General features: G+C 34.4%; 1 protein-coding gene across 17 annotated transcripts in view; it reads right to left on the minus strand.

Moving 5' to 3' along the window:
• The window catches only part of ARFGEF1 (ARF guanine nucleotide exchange factor 1), a 170,271-nt gene that overhangs the window by 90,149 nt on the left and 65,614 nt on the right, over nt 1–14,508 (minus strand). For 16 of the 17 annotated variants that reach the window (NR_182117.1, NM_001413186.1, NM_001413187.1 and 13 more), the window contains 7 exons: nt 13,623–13,798; nt 12,317–12,450; nt 8,043–8,277; nt 3,684–3,783; nt 3,432–3,571; nt 3,217–3,325; nt 2,347–2,548 (listed from right to left, as the gene is read on the minus strand). Coding sequence is in view for 16 of the 17 variants with exons in the window: in NM_001413186.1 (NP_001400115.1) it covers nt 2,347–2,548; nt 3,217–3,325; nt 3,432–3,571; nt 3,684–3,783; nt 8,043–8,277; nt 12,317–12,450; nt 13,623–13,798 (1,096 nt within the window). In the remaining variant the exon portion in view is untranslated. The remainder of the gene's footprint in view (nt 1–2,346; nt 2,549–3,216; nt 3,326–3,431; nt 3,572–3,683; nt 3,784–8,042; nt 8,278–12,316; nt 12,451–13,622; nt 13,799–14,508) is intronic. The other variant, NM_001413196.1, reaches the window with a different exon arrangement.

Genomic DNA, 14,508 nt, shown 5'->3' on the forward strand with positions numbered 1-14,508 from the left:
TCTCATCCAACCATAACCACTTAACATTCATAAAATGAAACACTTTTCACTAAGCTAAACATAATCCCCCTACCCCTAGAAGCTCTCACTGTAATGGAAGAAACACAATTTTAAAGAATTATAATACTAAAACTGTGACAAATAGATGTATTCACAAGGTAAGAAAATAACACAGTAGAAGTAACTAACTTAGATGGTCATAATATATTTCCTGGGAAAGGTGACTCTGGAACTATTTTGAAGAACAATTATATCTTTTATAAACAATAAGAAAAAACATGCAAGAGAGGAAGAAGCCATACTAAAACACAAAAGCACAAGACAGTATTATATAATAAATAGTTCTGCATTGTTGGAAAGTGAGGTGAGACAGAAAAGTGGCAGGAAATGAAGCTTAGAGTCCAGCAGATCCAAATCATGAAGGTATTATCATACCTTCAAAGCAGCTTTGGTTTTATTCTCTAAGAGAGGGAAAAAATAGACTTTCATTCAAGAAAGGTTACTCTAGTTAAGCATGGGAAAAGACTGAAGAATGAACAAAACCAAAGAAAAAGGTAAGCCAATTGAAAGATTATACTAGTTGAGGAAATAAATAATCATGATTTGATTTGCAAGAATAGTGGTGGGAGATCGAGAAAAGAGTACAGATTGCAGGGATATTAGGAAGTATAATCAACAAGTCTTAGTGACAGATTAGATTCGAGAATCTAATCCTTTGAGGGGAAAATCTAAGCTAACTCCCAGGATTTTAGCTTATAAATTTAGTAGCATGCTGGGGTTACTACCATAAATAAGAAATACAAAAATAACAGGCTTCTCTATTTGTCTTTTGTTTTGGGTAGGAGAACTAAGGGGCTGATGTTGGAAAAGGGCTGAGGAACAGAACGCTGGCAATGCTAAGATGCACGCAGGAAGAAAGAAAAAACAGCCCACAAGACTGAGACGGCATAGTCAAAAAGGTAGGAGAGAAACAGGATAGACTGGTGTCATGAAACAGTTGTAGACAAGTATACTAGGAATACAGTTCCATGAAAGCATTCTCATCAATGGCTGTATTAAGTAGAAAGCAAGTCTAGCTGCTGAGAGAAGGACTGGGAGACTTCCACTTCGAAGCCCTCTGACTACTCCTTCTCATTTCTCAAGTACTTCAAAATAAGTACCTTGGCAGTACTTACTCTGTACGACACTCTTTTATAAACATTTACACAGTACTATTTTTAAAAATTGCTCATGTTTAGAATGCAATCTTGAATACAAGGACCAATGCCTTCATGGTGCTTGGCAATAGTCCCAAGTACCAAATATGTGTTTACTGGGTGACCAGCAGAATTTCAATATGCATATTTGTTTACACACACTAGACCAAGAGCCTCTCAGAAGGAAGGGCTTTTCCATGTATCTAGTTTCCCCAGGATCTTGCATAATATCTGGAAAGATGAGACTTTAATAAATATTGACTGAACAATTAGAATTAATGCAGTAGTGACAGCTATTTCCTGAGGCAATTTGGTAAGATTTTGTAATTTTAAAATAGAATATGTGTACATTTTTGTTGAACTGTTTTTCATATTAACACTGGAGAAAAAAGACACCTGAACATTCACTAAAAGGCACTGCTTAAGTATCAGGAAGAAATGCTTTACAGAAGTAGCAAACCAAGTAAGCACACAGGGGAATTTTTAAGTTTATAATAGTTAGATTCATGGAGACGGCAAACAATTTCATTTTTCCTTATGGCATCTCTTTGAAAAAAAGAGATGGGCAACAAGAGAAAGGAAGGCAGCATGGTGACATTCACAAAGGAAATAGTCCAGGAGCAGGCAGGTATCACAAAGCTTAGTGGGAAAACTGACTTCACAAGATTAGGATCCGGTACACTAGCCAGGCTGGAAGAGAGGTGATCACCTCATCAACATATAAAAATGAAATCAATAACAAGAATAGTACATTTGTAAGCCAGCTGGAAAAAATGTAAGACCTATAAAGGAGTACTGATAGCTATTAGAAGTTTCATATTTTAAATGTTTTGAGTTGTCACATGATTAGAAAATATAATGGGGGGATGTCATGAGCTAAACAGTGCAAAATTGCACAGATGATACCCATCAACAGCACTTATAATATGGTGACAAATTAATTTATATGACAAGAGTGGTTGGGCATTACAGGAATCTAGTTGGGCTAGACTGCAATGAACAAGGGGGGCTGAATAGGAGCCTCGTGAATTAGATCCATGAGAACTATCCTCCATTTTACTCATTATAAGGTGATAAACCCACGGCAGGGGTGGCACTATACTGGCAGAGAGATATTCAATAACATTTCTCCTTAAGCTATGACACTTACAAATCTATCCCTTGTTCTATTATTTCTTTTTGTTGCTTTAGGACCTCAAATTGTTCTGGATTATCAGTGCCAGACATCTGTGTACTGTAGCTGCCTATTCCTGATGATGATGTTGACTCCAGGGAATTTAAACTTCCGTATCTGTTTATTGTCTCAGGGTGTTTGATTTCACTCATCTCTTGCTCTGAGGGTTTTTCCTGACCTGAAAGAAGAAAAATTGATAGAGTACATTATTCTATCAAAGAAAAAAAAAAGTGTAAGGGCAAACAAATTCTTGAATAAGGCAAGGCGTTTCAATGTTGCTTAGATATCTATTTAATACAAAATAACTATTAGGTAACATAGTAAACAACATACTTTGATATTAAAACACACTGTAATTTGTACGTGTATAGTCTGCACCATTAGGAGGAGTTCTTTTTGCAGTTGCAGTGCTGAGTATCCACTGGATTTCTGCTCTCAGCTCACTCCTCATGAGGAATTGTTTTCGATAATACCAGTGTAGCCCTGCAGCTATGAGTTTTTCTCTGAGTGAGGGTAAACATCAAACACAGATGAACAATTCAACCTTCTTAAAACATACTGCCTTTTATATGTTTCCTCTATAATTATAATACAAGAAAGTTGCATAAATATGCTTCATTTTACATAATCAAAATATTTCTAAGAAGATTTAGAAAAAAATAGTTTGGATAACTAAGTTAAAAATCTCACAATTTTAAAGCTAGACATTTAACTCACAGAGAATGTTTCCTCATCAGTTAAATGAATAAATATGTCATGAAATTGGTTTAACAGCAGCTGCAACTATCCTCCAAAGTATTATTCACTTAAAATGACAAAGAATTACAGCTCAAAATATCACCTTACCAAGAGTTGTCTGGGAGTTGGGATTCACATACTGATCCTTACTCCATTCAACCATACACTTCAAAATCGACACTAAGCATTCTAAACCTTTTTTCCTCAGGCTCAATTCCTACAAAGTAATTCAAAAACAAAATTTTTTTTAAAGGTCTTTTAAGGAAAACACATGACTCTTTCCTGGTAAAGTTTAAATTTGAAAATGTTTTTATAGTTCTTACCTGAACATTACTCATACCAAGTTCTTGACTGCCCCTTCCTTGAGCAATTTTTGATAGATCATTTACTAGTCTTTCAAATATATTGGCTGCATTTAAGTCACAGTCATAGTTTACATAAATATCCACTACACTCTGAGCATCTGTAACAATATAACATTAATTTCAACAAAGTACATCTAGGATATGAGTACATTTGGCCTTTTAAATATCTAATAATAAGAAAGAGATAATAAAAAGGATAATTTAAAATACCTGCACAAATCCTCGTCAGTGTCTGAATAACCATCCATTTGTGATCAAATGAGCTGGTAGAAGTTTCCAAAATGTATAAGAAAATTTCTTTAAAGAACACCTGTGATTAGGAGAAAACTTCTGTTTAAAATATTGTTTAGAATTCATATGTGTGATCACTTTTTAAACATCCCAGAGCTATAGAGCAGGTATTAGGACCCAGGCTCTTATGGAGTTCAACTCCTTTTGAGTTCCATCTCTGAATCCTCAGGACTAAAATATCTTGGGTAAGTGACTTAAACTTGCCCTTCTAGTTATCAGTACTGCAATTCACATTGATGTGTTTTGTTCTCAACACAGCTGCTACAAAAGAAATATGCAAAGATTTAGAGTTCCTCTAGGTGATAATTTCTTTAACATTTTTACAGAATATAACTTACGCTTTTTTAATCCCCCTCCAAAAGCGTAATTTATACTTCTGTTCATCAGTTATATTTTTCAGAGACGTTCTAGTACTGAGAGGCCTAACTGTTCGTAGATTTAAATGTAACTGATACTCTAATCAACACAATAAAAACAATCTAAGTCTCATACGGTTTTATTTTTCTAATTACTCACAAAAGTGAAAATCTCTACTGTTTGAAAACTACATATGAACTATTTCTCACTACTCTTTACACCAAATAATCAAGCAGTGAGTTAATCAACCTAATGAGATAAATTTCAATTTAACAGATAAGAATTTTCAGATTTAAATGTATTCTATAAAAGTGACTTTAAGAAGGAATGACTGAAACAACCAACATATTAACATTTATGAAACATATGCATTATGAACCCAGAAAATCACATTTATAGTATCTCCCCCTAACTGGATTAGGTACCCCTGTAATGTGATTTTCTTTCACAAAACTCAGCATATTTCTATTTACTTGTTTAATATCAGTATCTCCTATAGACTGTAAGCTTGAAGACAGTAATGACCAGGTCTTTCTTGATAAAGATCACGTCCATATTGCAGGGCACATAGTAGGTGTTCAATAAATACTTATGGCAACATGGCCACAATTCCCAAAAACTGCATCAAAGTACCCCAGAATGCTGTAGCAAACTCATGAGGGTGCCCTGAAAAAATTCTGAGGCAAAATTCAGAGGGAGATACATCTGTTGGATACCTCAAAAGATTGCTCATGGTTTCAAATAAATCACACTACATTCCCTTCAATGACATAATTATCTCCGCAAAGCTGGGTTTTGGTAGTTGCTATGATAAAAAACCAAGTACTGAATGAAAATCAATGAAGTACAGGAATGAGGGGGACAGTATTCAATTCCAAGATCTAAGAAGCTGTGTGCAGTTTCTAATAGGCACACGCATCCCAGTGGTAAGTAATTGCGGTAAAGAATAAAATAAAAACATTATTTTTCTTTTACTTTATGCATACTATTGTCTTTGAAATACATAGTAGGCTGTGAAGACAAATATCCATTAAGTTGTTTGGCCCTGCCTGCTTAATAAATAGAACATAGAACTGGAGGTATTCCTCTGGCCAAAGTGCAACTTTCATGAAAAGTCAGACTTGTGAATCAAAAACTTTTGGGATCCTCTGATTGACAAAATAAATAATATAGACTGGAAGAGAGAGGGAAGAAAAAATTTTAGCTACTATCAATGGTTTATCAAATTGCACTAATAAGCAAAAGTCTATTGCTGTAATATAAGATATTATGCCTATCATAATAGGGGCTCTAAAAAAATCAACCTTTTAATAATTTATCGAGGACCTATAATGTATGTATGTGGAACAACAGCTATATCTTAAGTATGCTGTCTTCACATATGTTCTCCTGAAAAGTTGTACATAAACTGTATCTTCTGGAATAGATATATAATTTAAGACCCATGAAAAAATCACATCACAGAAACTCTGAAGTGAATATTCTCATAAAATGAATCTTCATGTAAAAACAATCTTAATTTTGTTTTGCAAATTTAGGTTTTCATAGCTGGGCTTTCTCCACGTTCAGCTTTTTTTTTTTTTTTTTTTGAGATGGAGTTTCGCTCTTGTTGACCAGGCTGGAGTGCAATGGCGCGATCTTAGCTCACTGCAACCTCGGCCTCCCAGGTTCAAGCGATTGTCCTGCCTCTGCTCCCAAGTAGCTGGGATTACAGGCATGCACCACCACACCCGGCTAATTTTGTATTTTTAGTAGAGATGGGGTTTCTCCATGTTGGTCAGGCTAGTCTCGAACTCCTGACCTCAGGTGATCCACCCGCCTCGGCCTCCCAAAGTGCTGGGATTACAGGTGTGAGCCACTGTGCCCGGTGCTCAACTCATTTATAATTTGAGTGTGTATAACATTTTTGAAAGTATATCTATATTTATCTCATTTTACCCTCATTATCGCCCCCTGAGGGACAATAAGGAGTGAAATAAACCTAATTTTTAAAAATTAGAATATTATAATAATTTTGTAATGAGAATCTGACATCTACAAATTGACAAGAAATTTCTTAAAGTTTTTCCTTTCAAATTCATTTTTGCAAAGTTGAATTTGCTGTGCAAAAATAGTAATCTCAACTTAAATAATTTTTGATATCTAGATCTAAGAATTTATATTTTACTGTCGGTAAACAGTACCTACAGAAGCAGAATCTCAGTGTCCAAAAAAATCTGTAATTGGTTACATAAAGTATTACAAAATTTTCTAATGCCAACTTAAATGTCTCATCATCAGATGAAAGACTTCTGGTTTTTTACAAAAGCAAAAGTTCTAAAAGTTTTTTTAACTGTCTTTTATTTATAGTTCCTACAGATAATGGGGAAAAACTATCTAAAAACGGCAACTCTTCCTAGTTAAACGCCTTGTATTATCTTAACAGACATATGGCAAACTCTTAAAACTTGACATCATACATCATATAGGCACCAAAAATGGTTTCCTGTCCAAAAATATGGCCCAAATTAAAAAGCTTTTCACTTAAAATACCAAGGCCTAATTCTGTTTCATTCTCATAACAATGCTCTAAATCAATCTTGATAGCTATTACAGAACATTAACATTAAAGGATAATATGACTATTTTAGCCATTTCGAAATTCTGGAAAAATAATTTATCCTTTCTAACAAGCTAGTGAATTATGAGTCTTGAGTTAGGATTAAATATAAAATTAACAAAAATTAAAATATAACCTGTATATCAAACATAATATGAAGGTAAAAACTGACAACATAAAAATGAGTATTTCAAAACCATACAACATCACAACCAAAACAACATTTCAACAAATAACAAATTGAAAAAAGCATTCATTAAATTGGTAAAACATAAAGTACTATTTTTAAGTTTTATTTGAAGATGAAAACAAAAAATCAGAAACTGGTACACCTTAAAAAAAAAAAAAAAAAAAACCACATAAAGCTGGGCGCAGTGGCTCACACCTATGCTCCCAGCACTTTGGGAGGCGGACGCGGACAGATCACCTGAGGTCGGGAGTTTGAGACCAACCTGACCAACATGGAGAAACCCTGTCTCTACTAAAAATACAAAATTAGCCAGGCGTGGTGGCACATGCCTATAATCCCAGCTACTCGGGAAGCTAAGGCAGGAGAATCGCTTGAACCCAGCAGGCGGAGGTTGTGCTGAGTCGGAATCGCACCATTACACTCCAGCCTGGGCAATAAGAGGGAAACTCCATCTCCAAAAAAAAAAAAAAAAAAGGAAAAAGAAAAAAAAAAAAAGAAACTGGTACACTTGCACAACACATGCAGACACGATTGAAAACATCCCTAATTTAGTTCTACTAAATCTCTGACAATATTTTAGGACCACATGATTGCTATTCTATTTCCAAAGATCCTGGAAGAAAACTTTAGGAATATATACATTAAAAAAAAAGTACAAAGCAAATATTAATTTTTTCAAATATCCAAAATAGAACCCCAAAATATAATGCCCCTCAATCACATCTTTTAAAATGCCTAATACTTACAAATGGTTTAAAATAATGGAGATGCAATATATATTTGGAACTTTCTTTTAAGATAAACAAATGTATTCGAATATACCACACAGACAATGGCAAAGCTATTATGAGGACCAAATTAATTCAAGAGAGCAAGAACCATTTATTCAACTAGTATAAGTTCCTTGAGGACAGTGGCTCCATCTTATTTCATTTTGCATTCTTAGTGCTTATCCAGTGCCTAGTACTTCGTTGGCACATATTAGTTGAACAGGTGAATGAAAAAAAATAAGTGCATGGCAATATACAAATATTATTTCATTCTGGAGAACTTTGCAGTGTATTCAAATATAATTTAACATGAAACAAATGAAATATCCAATAGTAACATTATGCCTAAATGCAAAACGTACCTCAATTTGCATCTTCAGATGTGTCTTGAAATTTGACAACAAAGTAAGAAATATAGAAAGAGAAAGCTCAAAAACCTCTGGAACAGATGAGACTCCATTTTTTGAGAGTGCAACACAAAGATACTGCTTAATAGCATTAATAAACATCTCATTTGTCCTGAAAATAGGTCCTGCATTCTGCAGAATGGATAGAAGTAACTGCAATGAAAGAATCTTGGATCGTAGTTCATGAGACCTAAAATGTAAAAAAGAAGGCATAGTATATGAACAAGGTTGGCATTATAGTAATAACAGGTTGTTCCAAAAATATTTCCAGATACACATAATCATAATTTCATAAACTTTGTAAATGGAGAGGAAGAGAAAATTCTATAACATAAAAAAAGTACAGTACATGAACAACTTAGGCACTAACAACAGGTGCTTTCACTGATGTTCCCCTGAACCATATATTTATAATTTCACAAACTTTTTAAATTTATTATTTTGAGACAGAGTCTTGCTCTGTCACCAAGGCTGGAGTGCAGCGATCTCAGCTCACTGAAACCTCTGCCTCCCGGGTTCAAGCGATTCTCCTGTCTCAGCCTCCCAAGTAGCTGGGACTACAGGCACCCACCACCACGCCCAGCTAATTTTTTGTATTTTTAGTAGAGATGGGGTTTCACGGTGTTAGTCAAGATGGTCTTGATCTCCTGACCTCGTGATCCACCCACCTCGGCCTCCCAAAGTGCTGGGATTACAGGCATGAGCCACCGCGCCTGGCCCACAAACTTTTTAAAAAGAAAAAAAAAATTCACAAATATTTAACATCAACGTATTGTTTCACTGGAAAAGAAAAAAATAGTGTGAAGATATATGTTGTGTTCCTTTCTTTCACAACCATACTTCTTACAAATCATCATCAACTTGTCAGATTAAATGCCATATTTAGTATTAATACACAACAGTTCCAATGGACTTTTTTCTGGTTATGCTACTCAAAAATCCTAAACAATAATAAAAAAGTTTTGGTTGCATTAACAAGTGACAGCACTAATTCAAGCTTACTTTTTCGGTAACCATTTAAAGATTTTTTTTTCTTTTGAAATAAATATAGAGGTATTCAGAACAATTAAAAACTTTAAGGCCAGGCGTGGTGGCTCATGCCTGTAATCCCAGCACTTTGAGAGGCTGAGGCAGGTCGATCACTTGAGGTCAGGAATTTGAGTCCAGCCTGGCCAACATGGTGAAACCCTGTCTGTACTAAAAATACAAAATTATCCGAGTGTGGTGGTGGGCACCTGTAACCCCAGCTACTCGGGAGGCTGAGGCAGGAGAATCACTTGAACCTGGGAGGTGGAGGTTGCAGTGAGCTGAGATTGCACCACTGCACTCCAGCCTGGGTGACAGAGTGAGACTCCGTGTCCAAAAAATAATAAAATAAAATAAAATAAAAATACAAACTTAAATAGCTTAGCAACTTATTCTAAATAATTCTGTAATGAAAAGCTGAAAAAGTAGTTTTTGGCTTAAAATTTTTAAATTTTTTCCCAATCAATATACTATGGCATGCTTCTGATCACTATCTAGTGTTTTAATTATTTGATTTTGCAAACACAATTTTCCTCCCATTGAAACTGATCTCTTAAGCCCAACAGACCAAGGACATTGAACCCAGGCAACATTTCAAATGCGGAACACACCAAAATGCTCTAGCAGTTGGTTTTTTTTTTTTTCCCAAAAAAAAAAAAAAAAAAAAAAAAAAGTAGCCCAAATGCTGCTTTCAGTCACATTTACACTATATAGTAAACTTAATTGCCCTTGATTTCCACCTGAAAAATTTTATGGTTATAAGTGTCAAGTAATTCAAGAAGCTACGTAAATCTAATAAGGAATTGTTAATTTCACGTAAATGGGTATCACAAAAAAATACTACTTTCTCTGAAATAAAACTGGAGCCAATAATATTATGGCTCATTATTACACAGTCATGTTTCTAAGATGGCCATTGTGCTGAGTCTTCCTTTGAATCTAAGAATATATGCAGCAAATAGATAATTACCAAAAAAAATGCTTAGATAAATCAAGTAGAGACAGCAAGAACTAAGACTTCAAATAGCTACAGGGAACTACAAATTAACCCACCACCTCCCCTCCTGTTCTAGTCTTCCAAGGCTTACACACTACTTCCTATTCTAGCTCACATTTATCACCTATTATGCTCAATTCCTATTGTAATTAAATCCTGCAGCTTACCATTCTATAACAATGAGTGTTTGTTCTAAGTATGTTTTATATTTGTATTCCCAACATTTAACAAAATATCTTGTACACTGTACATGCTAAAAAAAATTAATGGACTTATTCTTGTATTCATCCATTTATTAAATACCTACTGTGTACAAGGCAATAATGAATGAAGAAATGATTAGACAACTGTCTTATGACACAATAAGTTATACTTTTGATAGGCAAAAGAGGCTGGAAATTTCAGGTCTGCAGTTTTTCATGGGGTAGTTTCAAATTATGATTCAGGCTTCAAGAACATTTCCTGGATCATCATTTTAGCAAGACCAGAAAATATAAGGGGAAGCAAAGACAAAAAAAAGAAAATGATGTAACTACGAAAGCTTGACTTTTGGCAAAAAAAAAAAAAATCATTAAAAACAGAAAACTACATATTCTTTTGGAAAAATAATAGCTTCTAAGGGTGTATTCAGTATTCAATTCCATTGTTTAATGACCCTGACAGTCAAGTCAAGAAGGTCTTCAAACAAAATTTCCTAATATTTGGTTTAAACCCACTAAGTATAAGGCTTGTTAATTTACATCATTCCTCATAAAAATCCTTTGTAACATTAAAGATAGCATCTTTTCAAAACCAGATCACTCTTTTTTTCAGGAATAAATGAACATACTCCTCAAAATTCATATTATTTTCCTTTGTGTCCTTTTCATTCTCAGCATTTTAAAGAATTTCTTCTTTTCTGTTTCTAGCATTCTTTCAAATCACAATTTTTACATTTGATTTGGAAAAAAGCATCTGAGGCTTTAATGGTCAATAACATTTTTAAAGCATGGCAAAAATGCCCTTCAGCAATAATACCAAATTCTTATCTCTTTCTCAAAGTAGGTCTTCATTGATTCAGAATGAGATGTTAAAACTGGTGATTTTTGAATGAGACTTTTTAAAATTCAAAACTGTCGATTTTTTAATGAGATTTTTGAATGTTGATTTCTGACTTAGGGTTTGGGTCTAAAAAGATTTTATGATTTTAGGCTTCTGGGACTAAAGGATGTTTCTCCCTGAACTGGTACAATCTGACAAAATTAAACAAATATAACAAATGTAGTTTCCACATATGTATGAAGTTTTCACAGCAACTGTCTCTGGTCTGCTCAGCTGGCACTCAGAAACTGAAACACTCTATAGAATTTTTTTAAATTGAAGTACCGTTTCCTTACATCTCTATTTCAATATCCCTTTCTTAAAGTTATGGTCTGCTCCAAGGTTTCTTTCTCCAGAAAGTTCTAAAATTGTCATATTGCAATACATCATGCTGCAATATTAGAGGTGGGCGACTCATATAACTTCCAAACTCAGTCTCAAAAGTAATTAGTTACATTTGAATCACGAGAGATACTTGACCATTTATGACTTACAAAAATGGCACTTTCCTAGGGTTTAATCTAATATATTTCATGAAAATTAGACAAGTGGCTCCTAACTCAAAGTTCTTCCTGATCCCAATAGACAAAGACATCATCCTAGGGCATTTTGTCAGACCTTAATGAATATGCATTATCTTTCATTACAACTTTTAAGATTTCTTTTAGGTTTTAGTACCTTTTGACTGGCAGTTTTTAGAAACCTAGGGCTGGGATACAGGGTTACATTAGCTCCAAAGTTACTTATATGGAAATAAGAATTCATTAATTCATTCATTTGGTAATACTTATTGAGCCCCTCCTATGCACCAGACACTATTCTAGAATGCTGTCATACCCTTTAGGAAATAGCATAAGTTATCTATTCCAGCAATGCTGAAACTTTTTGTTTTTAGAAAATAGTATAAGTCACATACCCTTTAGGAAATAGTGTAAGTTATCTACTCCAGCAGTTTTGAATTGTTTTTCAATACTTTTTTCTTAAACGTAAAATACCTCCCCTCCACCCAATTTTTTTTTATGGTTCTATAGGACAAAAAGAACAAAAGAAAATCCAAACATTACCTTAACAGTAAGTTTCAAGCCTAAAAACCTCTATTTGTCAGGCAAAACAGTTAATAACTTACTTTGGATCTGGTGGTCCATCTGACAGTGGTTTCATTGACAGTTTACACAATGACCTGAATACTAGAAAGGCATCCTTTTGTAAAATGTGGGAAAACTTAGCACCAGGTGAAGGTCCTGAAGAATTTCCAGATTCCTAAACAAGTTAACATACCATGAAAATTTTAGAGATATTTGCCAGTGTAAAATCGCTTCAGCCTTCTACTGTATTTCATTCAATTCACTAACAGGTGGAGATTCCCCCACTGTTGGAAGGGGAACCAGATGAGGGAATCTGCCACGTTGTTTTTCTTTTATACTCCACGGACCACACCCAACAATAAATACCTTTAAAAATGCACTTTAAAAATATTCCTTATTAATAAACCAAATAAACTCTTAAAATTTACCCAGCTCATACTATTACTGACAAAAAACTGATATATCATGCCTGACAAGATCCTATCCAAAGACCTAAATTATACTCCCTACTACCTGTCACTGACTGTTTTATTTTATGCTTTTATCCTATTTTATTTTTTCTCTCACTCTGGGCAAATATAAACTGAAGGTCAACCAAGCCAAAAAAAAATGTACTCCTAAATATGGGACACTTAGTGGAGAACTCCTTTACCTAAAAAGGCAGATCTTTTACACACAAAATATAGGGTAGGAAGGAGGAAAAGAACCTGTCATTACCATGGTACTGATTTCTTTGCAGCCCTGAACAAAGGTTAAGGTGAAGCTCCCTAAATTTCTAAAAGTTTTCTCACCCTACAACACAGGTTGAGTTACCTGAAATGCTTGGGACCAGAAGTGTTTTGGGTTTCAGATTTTTTTGGATTTTGGACTGTCTGCATTATACCGAATGAGCATCCTAATCCCAAAATCCAAAATGTGGAATTCTCCAATGAGCATTTCCTTTGTGTATGACCTCTGAGCGTCATCTTGGCACTCAAAAAGTTTTGGATTTGGAGCATTTTGAATTTCAGATTAGAAATATTCAGCCCATACCAGAATTATCTTGTGAATATGTAATAAGAATGTTCTTATTAAATGTTAATTCAATTGGTAGATGGGTGTGGAGAAGATGTAAACATAGATGAGACCTACCTTAAAGTTGGAAATGTAACTATCAAAATATGAAGGGGAAAAAATCGCTGTAATTTATATAAATGAAGGAAAAAAAACCCCAAGTTTCTTATTTCCCCAAACTAAATAAAAATCAGGCAGCATCATCAGCTGAAAATACTCATGACAAGGTGGTGGTAGCCTATAAATTTGTAAGATTAACAGGATTTCTCCCCCTCCCCACCCCTCCATTTATACCTGAGTATCATTGGAAGAGACTGACAATCTATCATCAGGTAAGGATGGTGTATATGCAACAGAAATTGGTGTTCCTGGAATTCCATTTGCTTGAATATTTTCACTGTCACTACCATCCTCTATAGTTCCAATGTTGCCATCTGCACTTGCATTTATAGTAGTCCCTTCTCCCATATCTAAAATGATAAGAATAAAAACCATGCAAATATATCTGACTTAACCGAAGTGTATTTAAAAAGCACAGAGTATTTAAAATGAAACAGTGGCAGGAAAGCAATGTGAAGTAAAATATGTATTGGCACCATTTAAAGGTTAGCATACTTACTACTAAATAAGTATGCATCTGGCATACTTCCAAATACAATCCTTAAGTTGCTCTGGCAATGAAACACACTTAGCTGATGAAAGGCTAACCAGGATGTGCCAAAACAGAAGCTTACTTTTAGTCTATATTAGCATTTACTGAACTGGGTTTTGATGAATGCTAATGACTTGAGATGTGAAGACAAATTCCTCGAAAAAATATCTCATTGTCAAATTAGTTCAGGAAATGCTGGGAAATAGGTTTCTTTATTGTAGCCTTTAAGTTGCTAATATGTACAAAACTCTCCAAGGATATACAGTATGTTGTGTTTCCAAAATTTATTGTACCATAAGCCCCCTTCCCGTTTTTAGAATTCCTATGAATATCTCTAACAATTTATGTTCTTTGGAACACAGCCAGGGAAATAATGACCTACACCACTGAAAATTTTTCACTAGGTCACTTTGAGTAATCATACTTGTAATTAATATAAACAGAAACAAGTGACTTCTGGTAGAACAAACAGAGATAATGAAAATAATACCAAGTTCCAGAACTAATCTAGGTATAATGAAACTCTTC

Source organism: Homo sapiens, chromosome 8 (assembly GCF_000001405.40).
Source record: "Homo sapiens chromosome 8, GRCh38.p14 Primary Assembly".
Classification (NCBI taxonomy): Eukaryota; Metazoa; Chordata; class Mammalia; order Primates; family Hominidae; genus Homo; species Homo sapiens.